The 27,992-nt window shown below is 39.9% G+C and overlaps 1 protein-coding gene across 2 annotated transcripts in view, besides 1 other annotated feature; it reads left to right on the top strand.

Moving 5' to 3' along the window:
- The window catches only part of RORA (RAR related orphan receptor A), a 741,019-nt gene that overhangs the window by 64,383 nt on the left and 648,644 nt on the right, over positions 1-27,992 (top strand). The window lies entirely within an intron of this gene.
- Positions 17,627-18,128: an enhancer, noted in NCBI's record as "H3K4me1 hESC enhancer chr15:61438991-61439492 (GRCh37/hg19 assembly coordinates)". NCBI's record gives its function as "activates a minimal SCP1, AML or CMV promoter by ChIP-STARR-seq in primed H9 embryonic stem cells {active_cell/tissue: H9 hESC(primed)}" and the evidence as "EXISTENCE:reporter gene assay evidence [ECO:0000049][PMID:30033119]".

The following is a 27,992-nucleotide window of genomic DNA, read 5'->3' as shown; positions in this document are numbered from 1 at the left end:
GCATGATATTCTTTAGTATTGATGGGCACTTGCAATTTTGTGGTGCTTCTTGGAAAGTGCTCTCTAATTACCTGGAACATTTATATTTTTTCTGTTATCCCTCCATACCTCTCTTAATTTTTCAAAAATCAGTCTTTCAGCTTCCAGATCTCTTTAGCCCTTAACAGTAGCCTTCTATATAATCTGCAGATCTGGTACAGAACATAGTGTTAATTTAGACCTTACTGATGCAGAATTTGTGATAACTGTGTCAGAGGTTGAGAAAAAAAAAGATGTAACTAGCATTGCTCAGGAGGAAAGGGCTTTGCTGGAGCAAGTTCATCCAGAGCTCATATGATCTACCCAACAGGAACAAAGGGCTTGTAGGTATTTAAGAGCATACAACTGCTGTCCTAATTGCAAACCGTTCTAGCCTTTTCATACAAGCAGGACCTGTATACGGCAATGGTTGCATTGCTTAGGTTTGTGTTACTATTCTTGATAAAAAAGCAATGACACCTGATTGTTCAGGAAAAACAAGCTTTTTACTTTTTAAAGATTCCACAGATCCTTCACTCCCAATCTTTCTAATAAGCCTGGAGTAGAGTGGTCTTACCACATATGAAAATTTTCAGCCTGCCAGCCGCTGCTGGTAATTTATGGGTTTGGACACTACAGAGAGACAGCAAATGTGGAAAATATCTCTAAAGTGCTGATGAAACCTTATACTCAAAGTCAGAAAAAGTACCCATTAATACGTAGTTAAGACTACAGGCTCCACATGTTTTTTTTTTTTTGATACAGGCCACTGAGACACCTGGGCTCACCTATTGGCTGTACCATTGATGCACAGACACCTACACTCTCTTGAGAGATGAAACCTCCAGTTGTAAGATCTTGTGTGTGCTTTGGGGTTTTTTGGTTGCATAGGTGTTTAAACTATCTAACAGTTTATTGAGCCCAGACTCAGTGATCTGACTAATTTGGATTAAATCCCTCTATATCACTTGCTGTGTTACCTTGGGTAAGTGGTTTCATCTAAGCCAAGCTTAGGTTTCTCTATGTGGATCATGCAGGCAACAATCTTTTTGGAGAAATAAATGGCATGTTAAGAGCTCAGTGTGGTCCTTTGTGTGTAAAAGGCTCTCAGTGAATGGTGTGTGATTGTGTGCGAGCTGTGTGATGGTTTTGAGATGAGAAGATGACACCAGATTTCCTGTGACAAACTCTGTGGAATTTGTCATTGCCCCTGAGCAGATCAGCAGCTGTGACTCCTCTCTGACCAGCTACCACTGCTTCGATGTCACCTGTGTGCCCTGCTTGGCACGTATCTGGTCTCAATTTCGTGTCTTCCCTCATCGGCTCCCCTTCTTTAGTAGGAAGTACGAATCTTGAATTGTTTTTATCTGACAATTAGACTCAGGTCTATGTGTTGGCTGCTGGTGGTGTTTTCTTGCTTTGTCTAATTTGTCAGATTCCAGAACCTTATACATGTCCTGCCCTCTAGAGGAGGCCTTTACCTGGCAGAATTTATGTCTTCTGGAAAACTGACTTGCCTCTGAATAGATATTGCTAGGTGCCCCGTCTCATCATGACGCTGATCGCTAGTGTTCTATTTGCCCTGACCAACTGGTGTCTCCTGGAACACGGATCCTCTTAGGCTCTGCTCTGGGACCCAGACCCCTTGTCCATTTAATTTCTATGTGGCCTTCCATGATTTGGCATATTGATACTAAAGTAACTGATGGATGCAAATGTATCCACACACAGATAAACAGAGAAATAGATAGTTAACTGGAAAACAGCAAGTAGAATGTTTAAAAACCCCACTAAAATAGATGGAAGGAAATCATGATGTGTTACTAAGTTAAGTGTGTTTCTCTTGCCACTTGGAGCCATTGGCATTGATTGATTCATTCATTGACTTATCACCCAACATAAATCAGGTCCTTGCACCTTATGAATCGTTCTGCTGAGTGCGGTGAGTGACGCATAGGTGGCAAGACCTGCTCTGACCCTATTAAATGTAGCATACAACAATTCTGTGTTCTGCCAAATTCCCCAGTAATAGTGGCCTTGTTTCCAGTTTTATGTTGAAGACTTGTAAGAAGCTGGAAACTGGTCACAGACAGCCCATTTATTGAGCTGGCCAAAGTAGTTATTAGGTAAGTGAAGGAGGATTGGATTGTGTGTTGGGAAACTTCATTTATGGTCTCGGCTCTTTTGCTAACTGTGGGTCCATAGATATTTAATAAAACACTTAACCTTTTCCTACCTTGGTTTCTTTAGCCGTAGTAAGAGGCAGCTGGTTTGGGTTGAGCCAGATCTAGAATTCTATTAATTTATAAAAATTATTTTTAAATGTCAGGGCTAAAAGAGAGGGCCATGGACGGCTGTCACCTTTCCCCCTTATGTTACTCACAGTTGGTAGAGTCCCTCACCAAGACCACTGTTAGCACCAGAAATGCCCCTACTGGCAGCATCTCCTCCATGAACAGGAGCCCTTGTGGGTGCTTTCGTGTGTGGCCTTTTGTCAAGGCTAAAGTCTATTAAAATACGGACTAAGATATTTCTTCTTTTGCTTTTTAAAATGTTTTAGTTCATTTGAAACCATGACCACTGTAATGACCCAGGACCGAGGACCAGATCATGTGGTTACCAGACACATCTTTCTGTGGGAATAGTGATGATCCAAGACACTTTTATATGGATGCCTACAGCAGGGGAAAGTTACACATTACACTGCAAAGAACATTCGTTACAGATCATAACAGCTATATCATTTCTTTACTGTGAAATATTTTTAAGGCCATTTTTCGTTTTTTTCTGACTGTAGGCAAAAGTAGATGCTTATTTTGGAATAGAAAACAATAACAATAAAATATTCACTTTTAGGACCACTTTTAACGTGTGTATATATCTACATTTCTATTTTTGGATATTTGCATTCTGCCTTTTGCATCAAATATCTTATGCATTTGCCACGTGATTAAAAATGGCTCAAAAACGTGATTTTCAGTGGCTGCATATACAGTTCATAGTGATTATACCATAATTTATTGAACTATTGCCACAGTATATCATTGTATTTTTATTTGGACCCCATGAGTTTCTGTTTTTAAGTGGCCTTCACGGGGGGAAGATAAATATGTCTTTAGACTAATAGATTTGCACTTCATATTGGCTATGAGAAGAAATTGCCTGTAATTAGCATCTTCAAATTATCTACAATCTAAGTTGCTTGCTGTTTAAAGATTCAAATACTAGATAAGAACTTTTTTTTTGAGATTCTATTTTTGTAGTTATGTGCACCCAAGCCCAGTAGTGGAGATAAGAACAGTCAAAACAATAAAACATTAAGAAAAGATGGGAAGAGGAGAAAACTGACATTTATGGAGCACATGCTATGTGAATGCGCATACATTATTTCATTACGTTCTCCCAGCCAGTCTGTGAGATAGATGTTACTTATTCTTGTTCTGCAGAAGACAAAACTGAGCTCAGAGAGGTTCAGCACTTGCCCAGGTAGCTGGAAAATGGCAGAGCCAGCATTTGAACCCAGGTCTCTCAAATCCAAAACGCAAATTCTTCCGATTTTATATCATACTGCCTAAATAAAATCAAACCCTGGATCAAGGTGACTGCTGCTGCTCTTCTGCCCTATATTACTGTAAAGCTCTCAAAAAAATTCAGAAAGATAGTCCACAAGAGCAGTGTTCCCACTGCTTGGGGGACCATGGAGTTGAGACTTCATATGGGATCCACAATCCTTCTGGCTCCAGCATCATCTCTCCTCCCATTGCTTCAGTCAGAGCAACTCAGCCTTTTCCTGTTTTACATATTGGGCTTCTGAGTAAGAAGATGACCCCTATTTTGTCAGACCCCCTCCGCCTCCCAAATGCACCCAATCCCCTGTCCTTTTGCTTCAGTGAAATACAATTGGCTTTTAATGGGAGCTCGTCTCCAAACATCCGTGCTTGCCCCAGTGCAAAGTGGGTTTGATAGATTGGTACTTGCCCCAGAAACATTCTTCCCAGATTTCCATGGGAAACCTTCATTCATTGGGCAAATGATTGGTTGGGTCTCAGTGAAGAAATAAAAAGAATTTTCTTTGTGTTCACTCTGCATTGTGACTTTTATGTCTTCGTTTGTGAAGACAGCTCTCTTCATAACCCCCTAATATTTCCCAGAGAATTCTCCATCTTTTCTGTGATCAATTATGATAGCTCTAAAATAGCATGCAGTTCTGAAATTCTCCACTTGCCACTATGTTTCTTATCACCTCTATAGTTTATTCACTCATCCATTTCTTCATCAAGCAGGCACTGAGCACCAGCTATGGGCAAGCATCAGGTTCTCATGGCATTCTCAGCAAAGTCCCCTTCTTCGCCGTTGTTTCATGCTTAACATTTGCAGAATTCTGTTTTTCGAGAGATTTTTATATTTGTTTGAAATTCTAATAAGAATAAACATATTTACTGAATATTAAAGCTCAATAAGATAGCTATAGTGTGAAATGTGGTTCAACATTAAAACAGCAATGCTGTGAAAATGTGTAATGTAACATGAACTTGTAAATTATAAAAAAGTTATCCTTCTCACCTCGTAGTTACTTTACGTATACTACTGTAGGCTATAGACCTAATAAGCTAGTATCTATAAACAGGGAACCGCTTTATGAGCATCAGTAATGGAAGCAGGTTTATGCAACTTTGCTGTTATTTTTTGTTTGTTTGAAGTAGGTCCTGTCAGTTCTTGGATTAGTGCTTCGTGCCAGGAACATGAGAGCTTATGTGGAGTGTTGATTTAAGTTTGTATAACATTGTCACATCATTTCTTTTATTCTTCTCAACAACCTTTTGATGTAGGTGTTTATTTGCATTCCTGTTTTATAGGTAAGGAAACTGAGGTCACACACCTGGTGATCGCAGAGAAGGAACTGGAATGAGTCATCTTCTATCCCAGGGTCCACTACCCAATCGTTTGATTTTCAGAACTATGTGGGAATTTTCTTTTATCATCTGAGTGTACCCATCTTCAGATCCTCACAAAATGAAAATTCTCAGTACACATACATATTTCTAGTTGAGCAAACAAATGCTTTTCATTCACAATAGGAAACTGAACCTCACAAAATGAATTTGGTAATAGCTAATCCCTATTTATGGGCAGCTGCCCAAACTGGTAAAACATACATAATGCACACCTCGTTGCCATTGCACATTCAAAATGCAGTGTGATTGCCGCAAAGGTACATTATTATCCACAGTCAATATGTCACCTAAATGTATGAATGCAATACAGTGTGGTATTTTGGAACACGATGTTAGGTTTCCTGATTGGAAATGTTCTTGAACTAAAATATCCTCCGTGACAAGCTTTTTTGTAGTTATAAAAAAAGATCAGCATCTCACAGGTTACCTGATTTGCTAATTACTTAGAATTCAGATCAGGTATTTGTGGTGAAATTAGCATGCAATAACCATCAGTTTTTGACAAGGGTTTCTGATGGAAGAAAGGGATTAGCTGTGGGTGACAAGCTGGTAAGTAAAAAAAATTGGAAGTACATTTTCAGGGTTAAATTTTATCTCTCAGGTTAAATGATGGCTTAATGTTTTAATGATGTTCAGCAAGGGTAGATGGGTAAATAGGAAAGGCAAAGCTGCTTCTTTATAGGGAGAGATGTGTCTCGAAGGGGTGTGGCATTTCCTTCAAAAAGGCTGATAAATGGGACTCTTGATATAGGCTAAGTAACCCCCTTTCATTCTGTGTAGGAGGATCTATGAGAGCTGATTATTTTCCAGTTAACAAAGGGTAGGAAGTTGTTCTTAAATCAGAGTCTGATTTGTCTAGTTATGTCTATCTATTTATATCTACCTATGTCTAGCTGTATATTTATATATGTTACACCATGCTTGCGATTTATTGAGGTCTAGTCGTAAAATGACTAAGATTGAATCTGAGAAAAGATCCTACCACATCATGAATGTGTACTTCCCTTGATATCCTCTGTCCTTGGTTAAAGGTGCAGATGTGAATGCAATATTCCCAATGTACTTTTCCTTGCGGACCTCCCCACTTCATCCTTGCCTTCATCCTTTAAATGCCATAGAACGTGCTTCAGAATGACTCACTCCTGAAGAGGAACAGAGCCATTTTATTCTCCAAAGTGCACAGTCTTTCATCAAATATTGTTTCAGCTGACACGACAGCTCCCGCAACAATCCAGACCAGGAACAGTTTCTGAGCCTCTTTGGGTCTCTATTACCACATCTGCGAACTGAGGGAAATAATAGTACTTACCTCGGGGGAGCGGATGAGCAGTAAATAAGTGGACACTTGTAAAGAATCTAGAAGAGTGGGTGGCATATAGCAAGTGCTCAAAAATTGTTTATTCAATAAAGGCAAAGGTTGGCAGCCACCTAGGAAGTAATGAGCTATGTAGCCATTTAGACATAAAATAGGTTAAACATCATATGCCTTTGACCAACATTAGCCAGCTTGGAGGAGGAATGAAAAGTTCATATCCAATTAATGCTGCAGATTTCCCAGCCCCCGCCAGTTCTAGAAAGTTGAGAACCCACAACTTGCAAAGACATCCTGGCTGATCTCCAGTTGAGATGACACTTCCAGAGAGGAGAAGGCTGTCAGGTCTTCGTTTAAGCCAAGTCAGATCAGCACATATTTGCCCGCTGTCTGGAGGAGTGGAAAACTCCACACTGTCACTTCGAGCACTCCAGGGATCACATCTGTCAGGATGGAATTGCTCATCCCACACTCTGTGGACAAGGACTTGGCGTCCAAGTCTGACATGTGACCAACACTCCATTTGGGATAGTGGTCACAGCAAACCCTTCTGAAAGGGAATTTGGTAAGTTTTCCGACAAGTCAGTGTGCAGCTGGGGTTGGGCTTTGGCACGTCCTCTCATGAATTGAACTGTGGCTTTCCATGCTCTCCAGGGTCTGGGATTTGGCTCCAGCTGAGGAACATACACATACCTCAGAGGCCCGACTCTGTTGCTCTCTTCAGCTTTGCATATTATGGAATTTTACTAATCTGGGTCTGAGGGATGGGGCGATTATCCCAATGCTGGGTTTGTTTTCATTCCTTCCACCATGAACACATTTATTTATCGATTTATTTAACAGTCATTTAATAACAGCCTACTGTGTGGCAGTCACGAAACTAGGGCCAGTCACTCAGCTAGATGTAAAGAGAATCAGATTCCTTTAAAACATATACACTAATGGGAGAGAGCTGCTTAAAATCAATCGCAAAGATTTTTTTCTTTGTCTTATCTGTGTGTGCCCAGTGCCTTTCGTTGTGCCAGCACATGGTGAGGAGGGCTGTCCCTTAAATCTTGGCTCCTGGAGAACAATGGGGTAAGTAAGCTGGGTACAAACGGCTGTGAGGATCAAATATATTGTATCTGTGTAGTGCAAATACCTAGCTGAGTCCAGTATTTTAAACTTTATAAATGTAGTTTCATATTCACTATATCACTTAGTTTACACAAATAACCCATTAACTTTAAAAGGTATTTTTTAACATTTTATGTTTAGCTGAAACTCAGAAGAGTTAACCTACCTCCCTACCATCACACAGCTAGTTGGGTGTCATGCCCAACACAGAGGTCTCTGGATTGAAAGTTCCTTTCAATATTCATGATGTTGCCTACATTTATGCCAAAAGGGCTATTTTTATTTCCCTAAGAGGTGTCAAAACTTAATGGTTCAGAGGATATAATCTATTCTCACTTGGTCAAAATACTTGGTTTTGGTCATTCTTTTTTCATCCTGCGAACATTTACTAAGTACCTACCATGTGCCGTGTGCTACCTTAATTAAATATTCTGTTTCAGATTTACTACATGTACCATGCAGGGTTGTTTGGTTTTCTGAAGCTTGGAAAAGGATAAATTATACTCTACCTTGAAAATATGTTGATCAAACTATTGTTTGGCTGATTTAGAAGGAACTGGAGGCTCTGGCAGTACCCAGGTTCTTCAAGATGAACATCCTTCTCACCATTCATTACAAAAGATAGATGGTATTGGGCTGAATCTGCACTGGCCATATTTTGCAACCTGGAAAATCCTTTGAAAAAGCAAATCCTTGATATGGGCCAGTACTAAGTTATAAAAGTGTGACTTTGACAAATTTATTAACCTCTTTTCACCTCAGATTTAACATCTCTTATAACATGGGGGAGTCTGGAGAAGACGTCAAGTTTTAAGGGTCTTTCTGTTTCCAAGCCTTTGCTGTATTTCATCTTTATACCCTAAAGGATGGCTCTTATAATGCTGTAGCTTCCAGAACTTTCCTCCTTCTCAGAGTGCTTCTACCTCCTAGGGTCTCAGGCTTCCTGTTTGCTTTTCACTCCCACAGATTCCTGCTGGGCTGTTCTCTGGCGCCATCTCTCCAGGTCTCTGGGGAAGGTAATGGAGAGTTGCTGAGAAGACTTGATGGAACTGGCTCTTCCAGGAGCTATTTTATGACTCATGTACTGTAGGGGTGCCGGCCTGTGGGGGCAGAAAGGAAACTGCTTGTTTCTTCTTTTCTGATTAAAAGAAACAACTCAAGGAACCGACTATCTCAGGCAGCCTCCTTTTCCACACTATTGGACCATTTGCAAAAATTATAACACAAACAAAAAATCTAGAATCATACTAAAATGGCAACAGGAACAGATTTTAACATATCTTAATACATATCTTCAAACTTTTCCCCCCTTGTTTTCCTCTCTTTTCCTCTGCTTTATGCTCTTAAAAAAAAGAAAGAGAAGTGACAAGGAACTGGCTTCTCACCCAGTAAAGAGTAGGAACAGTCCTTTGGCTTTTGAGCAGATCATGAGATTTTTTTTTTCTTCTGCAAAATTTCAGGGACTATCTTCCAGAAAAGTCATGTGCAAGGAGAGTGAATGGTTACAGCTGGATTAACACCCAGCCTGTTGGGTTCTGAGACGTCAACGGTGTCTTCTCTGTATAATCCCGTTTTCCAGAACACAAAGTCCAGAGTGCCCGTGTGTGCATTCCTGCCTTGGCTGGGTTGAAACGCGGGGTCTCCTTCCACCTGGAGTGTGGCAAGGAGAAAGCTGTGGTTCTGAGGTATCTGAATCCTTGGATCTGGGCCTGGTGATTCACCAGCTTTGCTGTTTGTAAACACATCATCAGCCTTTGTCAAGTTTCTTCTGTGGTTGGGTAATTAATGTTATTGGAGGAAACTATTATTTTTTTTCCCCTCACAGCTGAAGATGAGACAGAATTTGTCAGGCATCATAGACAAGTGTATTATTTTGCTTAATCTTTCCCATTGATCGGTCTCTGTTGCCTGATAGCCCAAGGAATCTTCCAAAGATCTTCCCATGGCTGCGGCCACAACTCCCCAAACAGCTAGGGCGTATTTAAAAAGGGAAAACCGGGCAACTCTTCTAGCTTTGTTCATTAACCTTCTGTTTTCCTCACACTGTTTTTTCCTTCTCAAAATATAAACCCCTTTGGTGCTTTCTCTTGAGTTGGATTTGGCTAGTTTCAAGATTTAAGATTTATATGCCTGAAGATGTATTTCTTCTATCTTTTCTTTAGCTATAGAAAATCACCTTAAATTTATTTATTTAGTATTTATTTGAAGGTTAATGGAATTTTATTTTTAATTATTTTTGAAGTAACATGCTGATATTCATCTTTTTAAATTAATTTTTAATAGGTGACACATAATGTACATATTTACGGGACACAGTGTGATGTTTTAATGCATGTATACATTGTATAATGATCAAGCTGGGATAATTACCATGTCCATCACCTTAAACATTTGTCATTTCTTTGTGGTGACAACATTTAAAATCTTCTTGCTGTCTTGAAATATACCAAGTGCCAGTCACATTGTTATTCACTACAGTCACCATACTGTATATTAGAACTCCACAATGTATTTGTCCTGTCTAACTGTAACTTTCTTCGAACATCTGGATCCGGGAACGTGATAATCTCTGCATCTGTGCCCAAAGAAATACTCCTTGCCCGGGTGACCTCCCTTTCACAATGCGAGAGGCAGAACCATTGTTTTTCCCATTTCTCAGCCCACTCTCTATTCTTGAGCCAGCCGACGGTGTCAGTGTGTATTTTTTGCCACAACTGCCCTAATAACATTTCCATGTGGAACACACACTCACACTGAGGCAAAGACACAATGGGTACCCTAGCTCTAAGACCACCATTTTCCTTCCCACTTGATGAAACATACCAGAATGCAGGGCTGGGAGAGGGACTTGACTGTATGATAACCTTGAATCTCCTGTAATTTACGAAGTAAAGTTTAATTATTTTGAAACTTTAAAATTTGTACTACTCTTAGCAACAAATGGCTCATGACCCATCTGGATGACAGGTCACGTAGATCTGTGACCTGTCTGTGACTGAGAATCACTTGTTTCCACTACAGAGATTTTTCCAAGGATCTCTTGCCCGGAAGCTCAGTTGGTAATGGAGTGCTGTGGCTCACAGTTCTTAGTAATTGTATTTTTCACCTTGAAAGCCAGGGCATTAGAAAGGCTTATGGCTCTGAGAGTTAGTGTGAACTGCTTGGTCTACCAGCAGTTCGCTGATGGTCTCAGGGAAGTCTGGTATGTAAATATTGAATCAGCCTACCTGTGGGTCCTTCCTATCTTGGCCTTTACTTTTGTACCCCTTTTCATCCCACAAATAGGAAATGCCAAGAAAAAGAATGTCAGTCAAAGACCCCAAAGAGTAATGTTGTTGGTGGGGAGGAATGCCTTCAAAATGAGATGTGGATTTGGGGAGGTTAAAGGGTGAACTGGGCATGAGAAAAGGGGTGAGTTAAAGACCTGGTATTGGAAAGTGAAGGAGAAATATAGAAAGGATTTGGCTAGGAAGTGCAGGATATAAGGGTTTGAGATTCACTAATCAAGCAGAACCACCTGCTTCGTGTCTATAAGCTGTGTGAGCCCACTGCAGGCAAGGTGTCTAAATGGCTAGAAGTGGCTTGGCCTTACCAAATCTGTTTCTTGATAGGAGATCAATAAATGCTAGCTAGCATGAATGATAATGGCTGCGTCCTGTTCCGGCCTGGGCCTCCATGTCATTGTGTGCCCTTGCATAACAACTTTGCTCCTGAGGGTTCTTAGCAATTGAAGGGTTCTTAGCAATTGTGCATGAAACCCACAATCCAAAATACACAAGGTCATTATTGATGCATGTAGCAATAGAGAAGAGTCATGGAGTTTTAGAGCCGGAAGAACATTTACAGCTGATCATGCCCAAATCCCCTCATGCAAATCAATTAACAAAAATTATATAGCCAAACATTCAAGTCGATGCCCTGTAATTAGTAACTGGAGTTTGAGGTACTCAACAAGGTAATAAAGCCCGTTAACAGCCATCAGACCCACTGAGTCTCTCTGGCACTATGAGTGGGTTAGCAGCTGCTCACTGGATGCAGCTGTTGAAAGGAAGAAAATTCTCTCTCTCTGAATGTGTTGGGCTCTGTCCAGCCTGTGCCATTCACACTCCCATGTCCTTTCTTAGTAATAATTAGTAAAATTTCCCTCACTGGTTTTGGAGTTGGAGGAGAATCAAAACATTGAGGGATAAACCATCCCACCCCACTTAGGTATACATGGTGTAGCCTTAATTGAACCAGATATTTACTAAAAATGGGTTCATCTTGCCATTCCTGCAGGTTAAGGGCGAACTCCTGGACATGACATTGAGACCAGCTCCTTGGGGCTCCAACCTGCCTTTCCGGAATCCTCTCCTTCCAATCCCTACCTAGTGCTGCAGGCTCCAGGGCTTCTTGTGGATGTCCAACCCTCTGTGTACTCTCGTGACTTTTTTTCTGATAGGATTATCAATCAGGACACCTTTTCCCCCTTAGTTGACCTGGTACACACCTACCCACCCTTCAAAGGCCAGTTCAATTGTGACTTGTCTTCCTCTAAAATGTGAAGAACATTGATCACCCCTCTGTCCACAATGCTTTGTCCGTACCTCCATGAAAGTAGCTCTTCAGTGAGCTACATTTAAAGGAGTAGCAGCCTGTCCACAGTGCTTTGTCCAGACCTGCATTATTCTGTAGGGAGTTGCTTATTTATCTACAAGTGCTTGCATCTTAGGTTCTTGATTTTCTCCCAGCTTAACCTAAAGCCTGGCATGATGTAGTTACCTAATAAATATCTTTGAGTCTGTGGATGGATGGATGCTTAGAGAGATGTCCTAAAAAGTTGCTTTCCAGGCTTCATTTTTATATAAATGTGAGCTCTATAAGGGCAGAAAGATCTCTTGTTCACTAAATGCCCCGGCACCTAGAATGGTACTTAGCACACAAAAGGATTTAGTACATATTTGTTGAATGAATAAGTGAAACACAATAGAATATTTTTTCTAGATTTGAACTATATTTAACAATATAATATTTACATATAATATTTTATAATATATATGATTATGTAACATTTAAATATAAATATATGATATTTAACTATAAATATTACTTTTGCTCATAAACATGTTTGATTTGGAAGGAAACATCTATTAGATCTGTAATGACTCTTTTCCTCACAGTGAATGGGCATGTTTTTTCATATTCCTCGGGACTGCTTGCTTATTCCACTTCCTTCTAGTAGCTTCTTTTCATTGATAGCTGGGCAGGAACTCAACTATTTCTCCAGTTTAGGAGTTGGGGAAGCTTTAAGAGAATGTGAGTTTTAGGTGTTGACTTCAGAAAAACGTTCATTTAAAATATGTGTTTATAACATTTGCTTTCCTGCCACTGCCTTTCCGGGTTTATGATTCTCCACCAGGATATTTGGTGGAATTTGTATTTGTTTGTTTTTTGTTTTTAGTTTGCATATAGAGAAGCTATTGAGCTGCGGAGAATGAAATCGCACTGGAATTTTTCCCAAACTACTCTGACTGACAGCTTCATGGAGAAAGGGGAACAACGATTTTCCACAACTCTAGAGCACAGTGGGCCCTCTTTGTGATATGGGCCTGGCGAGTGGCAAGACAAACCATGTGCTAATAGTGAATGCAGGAACTAGAGGGAGGGCAGAATCCAGAATTTAGGTTTTTTTTCCATTGGCTTTGCCTTGCATTTGTCATAGTGCTCTGCTTCCAGGAGACATTTAATAAATAGCTGCTGAATTTAAAGTACATGCTTGATAAGCTTCGTATTCAAAAAGTATATTAGAGGTCAGATCTTTGAAACTTTTCGTTTTACAGGTAAAGACAATGGTGGCCAGAGAAGGGAATATTCAGTTCAAGGTGTCACAGATCAATAGTAGCAAAATCAGAGGTGTGCAGTTCTTATCCTGTGGGATTTAACATGCAGGATATTTAGATTGATATCATGAGATGATTTATAATGGGACACTCCAGTATTTTGAACAGATGGATGAGTTGCAGTATTTCTTATTTGCCTAGTAAGCTTCATTTGGTACCCAAAAATTATGACTTAATAATGATTAGGAGCTTTGTTCTAGACATATCTTTCCAAAAGAAAAGGAGAAGGTACTGAAGAACAAAGGGGAAAGTTTCATCTATTCACTCAGCCTATTTAGGATTACATATTAAGTGTACAACATTGCGCTTAATGTCTAGTGGAAGAGCACTGTATTTAGAGCTTAGAGTTCAGGGTGTAGGCCTGGCTCTATTGCCTAACTACTGTGTATCTTACCCAACTTGGAGTTTGTTTGGTGTCTTTCTCATAACATCAGGCTTGGATGACATCACAGAATACAAAAAGCTTTCATCTCATGTACTATCAATTGGTAGCAATGAAAAGAAATCTAAGGCTACATTGGGCATAGAGTAAAAGAGTGCTATTCATGATCTATTGGTGATGTCTGCTCTGGATGATGGGTAGGAATTACAGCATGTGTGCAACTTACTTGCTATCTTGCGTCAGGTAATCCATGAAGTTCCAATACCTGTATTCTCTTTCTTGGTAAGGTAAGTCTTTGCCTTCTAATAATTTAAAAGCTCTGCAGATATGCATAGTTCTATTTAAATTAATTTAAAAAATGAAAGCACCAAAGGGCAGCTGACACAATGTAATGATTACAAATGCCCACTGATAAGTAGAGAAATGGCAATTTTCCTCCCAGCACATTTTTTTTTCAGACCATTGCCTTAAACAGAACAAGAGAAAAGTATAGTTTCCCCTGGTCAAACTGCTTTCCATATGTTTTGATGAGGAGTATTAATCCAAATCCACAGGTAGAATTCTGCCTGAGTTACTACTTAGCCGAAATGAGTTTAGTCATCTATGCCTCATTTCAGCGAAAACCTTGAATCTTTAAATAAGTCACATGAAGTTTAAAAATATAAGCAAGAGCCTTTTTGTATATTTTGGTCTAGGAGACAGATTTAACTCCAATTTGAAATTGTGTTTCATTAGGAATGTTATCTTTTGAGTATGGGTTTAAATTAAGATTGTTATACATACTAGTGTTAGCATAGGGAGGGCTGAACAAGGTCATTAAATATAGACCAAATGTATGAGACTGTCTGTTTGTATGTACATATTATTTGTGAATGTTCATGTGTGTGCAAATGATGGCTCTACAGTGCTTATTTTTAAACTGTACACTGTATTTTAAAGAATGGCAATTGATGTAGAGCTTTATAAGCCCAAAGAGGATTAACTGAAGGAGGCCAATAAATGCTTCGCGTATGGTTTTCTGATTGTGTATTTCTTCTACTTCTAAGAAATATGGTGGAACACCCCTTGTCATGTGTGGCTTATTGTTACACAGAACCACAGGCTGTTGAAGATACTATATAAGCTTGGGAGTTAATTTATAAGGGGTGTTAGTCCTGTCTCTCCACATAGAAAGGAGTTTAACCATGTGTAGTACTCTTTGAAAACCAATGATACTTATCTTAAAAACCATATGACATTGGAGATGGAAAGCTCTGTGTTTGGTTCTTGCCTCCTGTTTCACTGGAAAGGTGAAGCTGTTTGCCATTGGACTCAGAGTTCATCATCACACCAGTAATTCTTGACTCCCAGTCCGATATCTGTTCTTTCCTTAAGTCAATAATAAAGAAAATGGAAAACTGTCTGAAGTCACATGGCTATGAATGAGACAAAATGGGACTTCTTATCCAATAATTTGGCCTTCCAAGTTGATGCTTTGAAAGCTGCCCTGAAGTTTTCTCCTCTGGGGTATCAGGATGTTTTATCATTATGACAATATGAAATAAATAGCTATTCCAGAATAGTGCTTTCCGTTCTGTTGTGGCTACCTGGAGCTCCTGGCTGGAGTTCATATGGAATCTCAACAGTTCTAATCATCATGGGGTCAGGGTATTTTCTCCCTCCCTTCCTCATAGCTGAATTATGGCACATCACTCCTTTGCTGTAAGTTTCTTCAGATCCTTTCTGGAGGGAGATAGGAAAGGCAATAAATAAATAAATAAGAAGGAAATGATTTAGAGAGAATAGTGTCTTCTTAACCGCTGAAGTAACTTCTTTTCTAGTAGTGGTGGTGGGGTTCTTTTGATGAGAAACTTGTCTGATGAGTTCGTTGTAGGATAGAGTGAAGTCCTTGGGTATCCAGATTTCAAGATGAGGTTTCTCTGTAGATGAAGAGAGACAAGAAAGACCAGAGATGGAGCTGCTAGGCACAGAGACATGGAAAGAGACTCTCTGATGGGAACTCCCCCGCCATGGCTCTGCAGACCTTCAGTAACACGAACAATCACAATAGGTCTGGGATTGTTGGATTTCTGGTGGAAGCTGGCGAGGAGGCTGCCTTTTCTGTAGGAGATAGCACAGGAACAGAGTCAGCTGAATGGATGAAGTCTCTAACACCTGGCTCACATTTGATTACGTAAGCCACACCTCAGCATTTGGAATCCTGGAATGTAGCTTTTGTTCATTTGTAGAAGGCATCATCAAGAAGACCGAGCACATTGTCTGATGTGAAGCCCCAACAGAGCTGCAGAGGGAGCCCCCATCATGGGTCTATCCGTAGATGCAGCTGCCCCTCCCTTCTGCAGTCCACACGCTTTTTAGGCAGGGTGTGTGCACTCCCTTTGGTTAATCAACTTTCATACCTGGGTAGATTTTTGCCTCTGTAAAAGGTCACCTAGGTTACCTTTCCCCTCGGCCTAGTCAGGCTTCATGATCCCATTCTAATCTAATTTTAAATTAACTGCTGAGTAGATTTATAAGAATTTCATAATAATATTGGACATTTGGTTAGAGAATTATCTGCTCCACTTTCTAACATGAATGAATTGGCCATGAAATTGCAGGAGTGCAATTAATGTCATTAAGCAATTCCTTCCCATTCTATTTATGTTGTTCTTTATTTTTCAAGGGAGGGGTGGTTTAAATTAATTTATTGATTAGGTATTTTATTGCTACTTGATAGGAGTGGATCTACTGTTTCATGCCTTGTTGTTTCCAGAGACTAGAGAGAGTCTTTCTGATGGTGAGCGGGGTGATGCCATAACCCGGGTAAAAGATCCCTTTTGCTGCCTTTGTAGTCTAGTGGACCATTTAATATGTGGGAGAGTGAAACTACAGGCAGAATTCCGGCACCATCTTCTGAATACTTCATTTGGATGTACCTTAGGCACCTGAATGCCAGCATCCAACTGAAACAAAGCTGTGTTAAGGACCATACCTCCTCTTCCACCCTGATACCCACCTACCTCCTGCCCACTTCCTGTTTCCCTTCCACTCTGAGACCAGCATCTCCTTCCACATCACTGCTGTGGCCTGATCCTCAAAACTTCAGTGGCTCCTCTTTTAGCCCCATGTTGCCGCTGATGTCACTCAGATTCCACTGCCAGTCCCTTGGCTCACGCCTTCGGCATCGATGGATTGATGTGACAGCCTCCTCATTGGTCTCTTTGTTCCCTTCATGCCATTTTCCACCTTACTGCCAGAATGATCCTTCTGGAAGCAAAACAGTTTCTGTCACCCTTTGTTTCAAGTCCCCTAGTGGCTCTCCATAACCTTCCTGATAAAATGCCTATTTCTTAAGGTAATTCTGGATGAACTATCCTTGTTCCTGCCCTGCCAAGTTTCTGCCTGTTTCCTCTGCATGATACACAGTGAACAGGTTGGGCTTATACAGTGAAGGAGGCAGGTAAAAAAACCTAAAGATTTCACACACACACACACACACACACACACACGCGTGTGCGCACGTGCCTACTGACCATCAACCTTTCTTTTAGGACTGAAGTCATGGGTTAACTCCAGCTAGGACACTTGGGCTTAGAAATGTGAAGAGTGTCACCTGGTCAAGCAAGCCTCTTGTTTACTTACTCTTCTTCCTACACTCCTTTTCTAGCGGAAGAAGTTACTGATGGACAGCTAACTTTCTCCTCAAATAATTTCATCTTTTTTTCCTGCTTCCAACCTATCTTCTATGAGGTTTGGAACCAGGACTTCCCCAGCCAGAATCAGCTAGCTTCTAGCAAGGGCTGGAAGCTCTCATATTCCTTCTTCAGAGTCCTATTGCACCTGTTGGGTTACCCACCTCTCTCTTCCTGGAGGGCTGGGGAGGGAGGGTGAGCCTCACGGTGCCCAGGCAACATGGCTTCCAGCAGGAACTGGAAGAGCCAAGCCTAGTGGGACTGGCCAGGCACCACAGAGGGCCAAAGTCGTGGCTGTCTGGCATCTGAGCTCCTTTAATGCCCCTTTCCACCTTTACGGTTCTCTTGGGTGGTGGAAACGACCACGGTGCTGTGTGGTTCAAGGCATGACTAGTGGTTGACGCATGCAAAGGTTCTGGGGAATAAAATAAGCCCGAAAATGGCCAGAATGCATGAGGCATCTGCCAAAATCTAACCTATTGTGATGTCTGGCCCGCTTGGTGCTCTCCAAGCACTCAGAGGTGGCAGAGGAAATGGAATCCATTTAGTTCCCCCGTGACTGCCCCCCACCATGAATAGCCTGAAGAGGGTTTTCTTGTGAAAGCGTCTGCTTCAACCTTCTGTTTCTGTCCCGTGTTTTATTGTCTCCCCTCCTTTGCTGCTGCTATTTTACTGCCTCTACCCTGACAAAGCACCAGGTTTATTTTCTAGCTCTGTGTGTCTGCCCGCTTGGGTGTCTAACCAATGTATCAGCCTCAGCTAATACATTAGAATTTGAATAAATGTATAACAGCAGGTAGCAAGTGACTGGTGACAGGGTGACATATTGACTTAATATCTTGTGTAATGTGATATGAAGGATGTGCCTTTTGGTGTGTATTTTCATTTTAATTATTTTTTGTTGCTTTTCTTAGGCAGACACTTGTAGGCAGCTTTGAGTAATTGTCTGAAATCATTAACATGTTTATTAAATAAGGAAGCAGAGTGCATTATCTAGTGAATCAATTATGTAAATGCACAAAAAGCATAAGAAATTAGTCTTTAACTGTTGCTGAACTGCATCCATTTTCTAAATTATAGATGAAAGTTGCTGTGTGTGCGTGTGTGTGTGTGTGTGTGTGTGTATGTGTATGTGTGTTGGGGGGAGGAAGGTATATTTAGATTCATTTCCCTTTCTTAGAGTTTTAAAGCAGCAACAATTAATCTGTGATTTTCTTTGGTGGGGGGCACTTCTGAAATACAGCAACTAGTAGGGATTTATGTAGATTTTTCATGTAGATGACAACAGATGGTCGGCAGTGAGAAACAGCAATTTCTATTGAAGGGTCTGGGCGAAGTGATAAACAGTGTCAGTGGAGCAGAAGCAATAGCATCTTTCCTTTGGATAACAGCAACACTATCTAGGGGAAAAATCCTCGACATATTTTTAAACCAACCCATCATGCATTCTGATTACTTACGATTAAAATATTGTAAAAAGGATTTCTGCCATTGGCTCAAGTCTAATTTTTGGTGGCATTGGTTGTTTTCATTTGGGAAACAATTCCGTTGGATATTGGGAAACTCAAGCTACCTGCTATCTCATAACTCATTAGTTAAGTAAATTGTCCTGATGTTTGAGAGAAGCATCCTTCACTTTGTCTCCCTATTGCTTTTTTGTCTCCAAATTTTGTGGGTCTCTTTCTGTGGGATTCATATAATGGGCCCTAAGATAGGTTTCCAGTATATAGCCTGGAGTTTAGTGTTTAAAAGGAAAATGATGGTGCTGGGATACTGCCCCCTTCTCTTGGCTGAACATATTTCCCCTGATCGTTTTTCTGATGGCAATTCAAAGAGGAAGACTGAGGCAGAGATTCCACCTCAGTCTTTTGAATTCTCTTTTAGGAAAAGGGTTATGAGTGGATTGAAGTGTATTCAAAAGGAGATAACAGAAAGATGAAGACAGGCATTTTAGGACTATGTGAAATTGTAGCTTTCTGAGCTAGAGAAAGACATTTCTCTGTTACTCTTTCTCAGTCTTTTCTTCTTTATAATGGAAATCATACCACTTATTTGAGGTTACCAGTGGTTGCTTACAAAATGTTTTGGAAGCCAAAAGGAAAATACCCTGGGAGGTAGGAGCATGTTATCGAAGGAAGTACACATCTAGATGTAGCCTGGACTCCCCCACATTCAGTTGTATGACAGAGCACTGGATACTTAACCTGTGTGCATTCTGTGTCCATATCTGTAAATTGGGAATGATAAGACGTAACTTGCAGGATTGTTGGGATTACATTAGATAATGTATTAAAGTGCCTATTAGTATAGTAGGCACACAGTAGTATATCAGTAGCTCAGTTCCCTTTCCAAAAGTGTTAACAACTGCCAGGATTTGAGTTGAATTGGTGTAGTTTGCTATGCATAAGATAAATACATCTAGATTTTTAAAATCTTTGTACAGATATCCTGTATAGAGAAGTAAGTTTATGACATTGAGTGTAAGATAATCTAGAAGATATTTTAGATATAGTAGTATGGAAACAAAAAAAGGCTTCTTTTAGATAGAGGCGTATACCATCAAGATATCTTTATAGATAGGTATCTCAAATTCCTGTTCAGATTTCCTTTTTGACCATTAATATTTTTAAAAATAACACATACAGAATAAAAAATTCAATATACTGTAAAAGGATATACAGCGAAACTTATAGTTTCCTATCCTTCTTTCACTTCCAGACATACTCCCCCAAAGTAGCCAATGTTAATAACTTTAGTGCATACTTTGGATATACATGTGACTCTGTCTATAGAAACAATTCCTAGAAATGTGGTGCTGGGTCAAAGGGTGTATTTCAAATTTAGAAAGATCTGCCAAATTTTCCTCCAAGAGATCCTAGAGTTTCATATTCCACTCAACAGCATTAAGAATATCAGTATTAACAACTCTGTTGCCAACCATGTTATCTTTGCTTATCTGATAAGAGAGATGATACTTGTTTTGATTTACATTTTGTTATGAATGGAGTGAGCATCTTTTTGTATATGGACTAGCCATTATTTGCTTTTCTGTTTCTATGGACTGCCTCCTACTAACAGTCATGGCAGCTGTGCTGAGCTTCCCAGATCCCTCTGTAGGACCCAAGTTCTCAGTCCTCAGTTGCTGTGCATGTGGGTAGCAGAAGGAACTCAGCCTTCGCTGAACACACTCCCCTGGCCAAGTCACGCCCCTTTCCTCGGAATACCCTACATCCAAAAACTAAAAGGCTCAGCTCCTTTTTTACCAGTTTGGGACAACTCTGAATGGCCATCGCAGCTCGAGCTGCCCGTGGAATCAGCTGAGGTCTCTGTTGTGATTTCATCACTGCCTAACGTCTCTGAACAGTCCTGGCTCCTTTCCTTCCTCTGTGGGTGTTGATCCTGAGAATACTCCCCAATAAACCTGCACATGACTCTCCACCTCCTAAATCTGCTTCCCAGGGAGCCCAGTAGAGGACAATAACCCTACCCATTTTTACACAAGGTTCTTGTTCTTTCCTTAGAGACTTGAAGGGATTCTGTTTAGGAGAAATTAGCCTTTTATCTAACATATTAGTTGCAGATACTTTTGCCTCTTTGTCATTTGCTTTTCACTTTGTTGTGGTTTTCTTTGCCTTTCAGAAATTTCGAATGCAATGTAAATTTATCATTTTTTTCTTTCTCTTTTGATTGATAGCATTTGGTTTTTGTTCCTTGCCTAATAGAGCCTCCCTTATGCTAAGATTATTGTTTTTCTAATGTTCCTTTGTTTCCGCTAAGATCTTTATTTTTTACATTTAAATATTTGAGCCACCTGAGATTTATTTTTATGTAAGAAGTGAGAGTGGAACCAGCATTATTTTCTCCCTACTAACTGGCCAGTTGTACCAACATATTTATTAGACAATCCACCATTTTCCCACATCTGAAATGTCAACTTTATTATATAACAAATGTTTCTATGTGCATTATGTTTATTTCTGAACTATTTTTTCCCTCAGAAGATTGTTGGTTTGCTAATAACAAACTGTTCTAATTCCTTAGCTTTACTGTATGTCTTAATAGCCAATAGAGTTAATAACCTTATATTTCAGAATTTTACTGGCAATGCTCACAGGTTAATTTCTCAGGTGCAATTTAGAATTAACATTCCAAGTTTCAAAATACTCTTATTGACATTTTTATTGGATTCACATTAAATTTAGGGGAGAATACATCTTTACAATGAGTCTTTCCATCTAAGTACAAAGTCTGTCTTTCCATTATTTTGCCAGCTTTTACATCTCTCTGTAGGATTTAAAATTTTTTTCTTGTGAATTCTATACTTTTCTAAATTTATTTTTTTAAATATATGCCCATTTTGCTCTTAAAAATGATACCTTTCTTCTGTATATTTAATTGGCTTTTGTTTATATAAGCTATTTATGTGTACTAGCTTTATAAGCATCTGCCTTCTCTCCTAATGTATCCATCCATTTTCAGTTGATCCTCTTTGGCGTTCTAGGTACATATATGTATAATCTGCAAAAATAATAATTTTGTCTCTTTCTAATTTTTATTATTCATGACTTTCTCCTCATTGCACTAGTACTAATTAGAAAGTGTAAAATTATAGGGTATTGGCAATGACCATTCTTGTCTTAATAGGAATGCCTCTTAGGGTATCATTTAGTATGATTTAGGCTTTTGAGCTGATGCATGTGTATCTATATCTCTCTTTCCCATATCAAAAAATATTCATGGATTTCTATTTTATTAAGGGCCTATTAAATCAGAATGGATTTTGATTTTGTCGAATGCTTTTTTAGCACCCGTGAAGATGATTATAGGATCTTTCTGCTATAATGTATTGATATTATGAATGACAGAGGTAAAAGTTCTGTTCTTGAATGATCCTGGTATCCCTTTAATAAGCTCTATTTGGTGGTGGTATCTTATTCTATTATTGCACTGGTGGATTCTGTCTGCTCATGTTTGAGTTCATATTTTTACATTATTATTTATAAATTAGAGTGATCTGACTTTTCTTTCTGGTTATTTTTGTCAGGTTTGAAATCAGTGTTATAGCTGTTTTGGAAAAATAACTTAAAAGTTTTCTTTCCTGAAAACATATTTAAATATTTTAATGGGAACCAGCATGAAGCAGCTTGTCTGTTAGTGTCTTTGTCAGTGCTTCCCTAAATATGTCTTTTTAGAGGAACATATTTGATGAGTTATAGTTAATAATTGTCAAGATTGGACTGTCTTATTCAAAATGGAAAAGGAAGATGAAGGGGCTAATAGGTATCTTCCTGAGGAATTGAGAGATGCCAGAGGAGCTTGGAAATATGCCAGCAAGTGCTCAGAGGAGGTGGGGAGCTAGAGAATTCAGCTGAAACACTCTGGGAATCCACAGAAAAATCCTAGAGATATTCAGGGTAACAACAATAAAAAAAAAAACTTTATAAATGGTCTATATTGCATGTAGTTTGAAATTAAGATTGTTACTGTTATATTCACAGAGTGATCCTCTGACAAAATGTGAAAGGGTAACTGCTGTCTTAGTTCCTTCTGTTCCCTTCTTTGTACTTTGTTCAGAGGCTTTCCCCATATTTACCCTCCTGTCCCTCCCCTTTTCCACTTAGCCCAGGAGCCACCTGGAAGCACTCACCTGCTCAGGCATCAGGCTCTCTTTCCCCCTCCTGAACCTACCCTGAGTGAGGCAGCTCTTTGCTAATGAGGTGTTAGTCCAATCCAAGCTCACGTGAAAGTTTGTCTCTGTGCCTCCTGCAGTCGACCTGTTTGTATTTTGCAGGGCGATTTGAGGATATTTAAACCCAAAGCAGTAGGTAGGGGCCTGCCAGGCAGGCTTGCGGGACCTTGCTGTGTGCCTGATAAAGCCACACTCCCCATTTCTCATTCTGGCTGTTCTGGGTAGGGTCAATCTTGTCCTTATGAAATCAAGCCGTAGTACTGTTTGAGCCTCAGCAGTCTTGTATCTCTGAAGCTGTTGACGCCTTTTCTAAAGTCTTTCTGAGGTTTCTTCTCCAATAGATTTCTAAAATTTTTTTAAAAATGCATTATTCTGGTTTCTTTTTTCCTTTCTCATGCTGGTCAGTGGGATTAAAATGGATCATTTTGCCACTTTTCTAGATTTTCTTTTGCTCTCTGGGTGTCTCTCGCTAGTCCTAAGCAATTGTGTTGGATTTTATAACAGGGCAGAAGATTACATAACATGTGTATTGGCTTTAAATCATTCCAGTCACAAATTGTTCTGATAAATACTTCATTCCAAATTCTACATCGATTACAAGCTTAACTGATCATGAAAAATTTATTCTCAGTAACATAGGTTGAAGAACCTAATGTATAAGATAAATCTATGGGATATTGCATTAACCCCAGAAGTCAATATTGCACCTCTTTGTATGGTCTATAAATATATCTCTGAAATATGCATACAGTGTTTTGAAATGTAGACAGAACTCCTTGATCAGTTTTTGGCTTTAAAAATAAAGAGGATTTTTTTGGGTCCAATTTACACTTTTCCGTTGTGATACTAACAGATAAGGGTACTGCAAATAGAATGGAAGTTGGTAGGATTTAGGGTTCTGAAAGGAGGTTTCTTGTGTGAAAAAACAGCTTTTCTTGACAAGCTGCTTGTCAAGGTTTTCAACAGCCTCTCTTTTCATTTATTTATTTGGTTTGAGGGAGTTAGGAAGGTGTTTGGTGTATTTTGTGCTGGCAGCTCACACGTCAACACAAGACTAAAAATATTCTCCAAATATGAAGGTACAATAGTTTCTTCTTTTCCCCCTGACCCCCCGCCACTGCCCAGAGTACCAGCGTTAAACCCTAGGCAAAGGGCTGACCCCTGATAAAACTGCTGTAAGGTCAGCTCTGCGCCTCTGCTATGAGGTTTTTTTTTCTCCCATCCATATCTCCACATTGCTATTCCTTGCTAAAGTTTTGGGGTCCCCTTGTAGATCTCTAGTTCACCAGTGGCTCCCATAGGGATCAGATCATTCCTCGTCACTTCTGTCTGCCATTGGAACGTATCTTCCCTGGTTCCATTGCTCTGGATCGGGGCATTGTTTTGGAGTTCAAGCAGATAACAATTAAAAAGTGAGGAAGAAGTCACATCCGGGTGGCAACATCACAGAATATATGTTGAAGGAGATGGCATTTAAACTGAGTCTTTAAGGATGAGTAGAATTTTGGCGGGGGTTATTAATCAAGCACACCTACAGGTGCTGGTATGTTAAGTATCCCTACCAGGCAACATAATTCCTTAACCTACTTTAAAAGCACCTGTATCCAGAGCTCTTAATGGAATCATGGTATTGCTGAAAATTTTAGGTACCGTGTTGGGCCTTCTGCGTATACATAAGGCGAGTGAAGACAGAACGAACTTTTCTTCCTCTGTCTTTGCATTTTTGGAAGTGAGCAGACACTGGTAAAATGAGACCATTGACATGTTGAAGAGAAATTTTTCTCTCTCGAAAAATAAGTTCAACATTGTACATTCAGTGTACTGTGAATGTATATGCACACCAGTGGTTACATTTATAGCAGTACAACTGAGAATGTGCAAATGAAGTCTGGGAAGTGCCAAATGGTGTCCTCCAGCATCTCACAGAACTTTTCTGGTGTGAGAGGAACTTCCAATCAGGTAACAATTCCTTTCAATCCAATTCATTTAACTATATTTTTAAAGAAAACCCAGGGCAAGGGGCTAGAATTTTCAGAAAATGAAGCTACAAGCTTTTAGGGGTGGACATCTTTTTATTTTTTCTTGTGATTTATTTTTGGGTTCTTTTCTCCTATCAGATCTTAAACTCACTCTGTCTCTCCTGCCCTGGTGCCAGCCACGGAGGCAGGAGTAGTCGACTCTCTCGATTTCATTAAGAGGTTGGTGAGCAAGGGGTTCCGCTGAAGCTCTCCCTGCGGAATCGAGCACATCAGCTTCTCTGAAGTGCTCTGCTCCCCACAGTGAGAACGAAGTCCCTTAAAGCCACAGAAGTACTGTTGGACTGCCAGTTTAGGTGGCCTCTGGTTTAACTTGGTCACATTTTCTCACCTGCAAATCCAAAAGTTGATGTATTAAGACTCGCCCTCCTTTTTTATGTCCCAGTCTTTTTGTGAATTACTTTTTATTCTTTCATTACTTTGTTGGTTTGTTTTTGTTTTCTAAGAAAGTAAGCAAGACTTTGGGTCTTTTGGGGCAAAATGTCCTGATTCTTCTAATCTATTTAGACAAGTGTTTCCCAGACTGTGCTCCGTGGAACGATGGTGATTGGTGAGGTAGCTGTAGTTGTTCTGTGGAAAATATTTCTGTGGTCAGTTTAGTTTGGGGAGCACTGCCTGCCCTATCACCCCTTTGTTGCTTCTCAGTGCATATTAGCATTAAAGATAGAGAGTTTTGCAGTTTAAAAAGAAACGTTTTTAACTTTTTTTTTTTTTTTAGACGGAGTCTCGCTCTGTCGCCCAGGCTGGAGTGCAGTGGCGCGATCTTGGCTCACTGCAAGCTCCGCCTCCTGGGTTCGTGCCGTTCTCCTGCCTCAGCCTCCCGAGTACCTGGGACTACAGGCGCCCGCCACCACGCCTGGCTAATTTTTGTATTTCTAGTAGAGACGGGGTTTCACCCTGTTAGCCAGGATGGTCTCGATCTCCTGACCTCGTGGTCCACCCGCCTCGGCCTCCCAAAGTGCTGGGATTACAGGCTTGAGCCACTGCGCCCGGCCTGTGTTTTTTTTAAATTTAATTTATTTTTTTATTTTATTTTATGCAGTGTCCCTGTCATGGCATTTATCTCTGTTTAGGCCAGCATTTGCAGAACATTTGTTTTTGCTTAGAATGGCTTTTTTTCCCCCTCAGAGCACCTCTTGATGTCCCGAGGGGCACAGACGTTCCACAGAATGCAGCCTAGACTGTGCAGGAAAAGGCCCTCCCTGTATCTCTAGGAGCTTCTCTATCTATGGGGTACAAGCTTTTTGCTGAGGGGTAGCAGTTTGATCTGGAGGCATGGAGGGACTTGGATTTCTTGCCATATAAAGACTCACACATTTTTGTCAAAGGGCATCCAAAAATCGGTGCTCAAAACAGGCAAACATTGCAACTGGAGCATTTTCAGAGTGGTCTTCGTAACCCTGGGGGAGTAATGACGGCCAACATGAAGCACTTAGGTTTTTATATTGTATGAAGTCTGCTCTCCGAATATTTTTGTTCATACATCATTCAGCATACACGAAACCATCTAGCTCCATCCCACGTCTATGTGAGTCACTTTTTTTAAGTACTTCTTTTTTGAAAAGTGTCTCATGCTCATAGATAATTAGAGAAAAAAACAAGTAAAAATAAATCATGTTGTTTAATTTAAAAACCCAAATGAATCTTAAGAACCAAATACATATGTTTCTCACTTTCTTGGATTACCAAGAACTACCACCTTTGTTCTCATCCTATTCCAAGCATGTGAGTTAGTGTTTTTTACCATAAAAATGAATGATATGGAAACAGCATGTCAAAATAGAGGTGATTTTGTATTTATTCTTCCCAAATGACTCAATATAAAGAAAGCATGGAAAAGTCTCTGGTAACCATATGCTATAGGTTAATGGCCCCCTGTATGTCTCTTTCCAGGGTAAGTATGTTTTCCTGGTGGACAATAACTTTCCAATTTATATGTTTCTCTTTCAAGATTGTTACCCAGGAAATGGGATGTTTGAAGTTATTCATTATTGTTGAGTGAATTTACTGATTGTGTGATAGTTATGTCAGAATTGGTAACCTGTTATTACCTATTATTTCATCATTAAATTTAATGCATAAAATGTGTAATTTTATAGCCCTCCATTACTGTTAATTTAATGTAATGCAAATTGATTGTTCAGCAAGAGTGGCACTCATCTAAGCACATGTTTTAAATTTCAAAATGCTAAATGCACTTTAGCTGTGTTCTGAGCCCAAGAGGAGGTGTGTTTGTGGCTCTGGAGAACATCTGTGTTAGGAACGGCCCAGCACAGTGGCACAGCTCTGTGACTGCTGCTGCAAGCTGATGCCACTTTTAACTGCAGGTTCAGTGAGGCCATGGGCACGTGCTGCCAGGAAAGAGGGCATTTTACAAATGGGGATAAGTGTGTGCATTATACTAATTTTGTAGGAAGAACTTAAGGTCTGTTCCTTTAAGAAAGTTAATGTTCAAAAACACAAAAGGCAGTTGAGCCACAGTCTCCAGGTTTGGGCCACTTTGGGCGCCAGAGAGAAAATGAAAGTTAGAGCTATAACTGCTGTTGCTGATATTGTCTGTATTGTATGAGCTACAGAGGGAGTGAATGATGAAGAGCCTGGAGAGAAATAAAACATGTTGGAGTTTGTAGTCTTCAAAGGATAACTTTAGAATAAACAGAGCTAGATTTGGTTAGGATCTTATTTTTCATTTACATGTTGGTCATGTTTATTTTGGTCTGGAGAGAGAACTCTGCCACCCTGGACACCCTTGCTTTTTTCTTTCTTTCTTTCTTTCTTTCTTTCTTTCTTTCTTTCTTTCTTTCTTTCTTTCTTTCTTTCTTTCTTTCTTTCTTTCTTTTTTATTTATTTTTTAGAGGGGACTCTTATCAGCTTTGGTCTCCAGTCATTGGATGCTGGACCTTCTCTTCTTGGAATGAGTGGATGCCAAAA

Source organism: Homo sapiens, chromosome 15, assembly GCF_000001405.40.
Source record: "Homo sapiens chromosome 15, GRCh38.p14 Primary Assembly".
Classification (NCBI taxonomy): domain Eukaryota; kingdom Metazoa; phylum Chordata; class Mammalia; order Primates; family Hominidae; genus Homo; species Homo sapiens.
The sequence above is the reverse complement of the archived record's forward strand: the minus strand, read 5'-3'. Positions and strand labels throughout refer to the sequence as shown.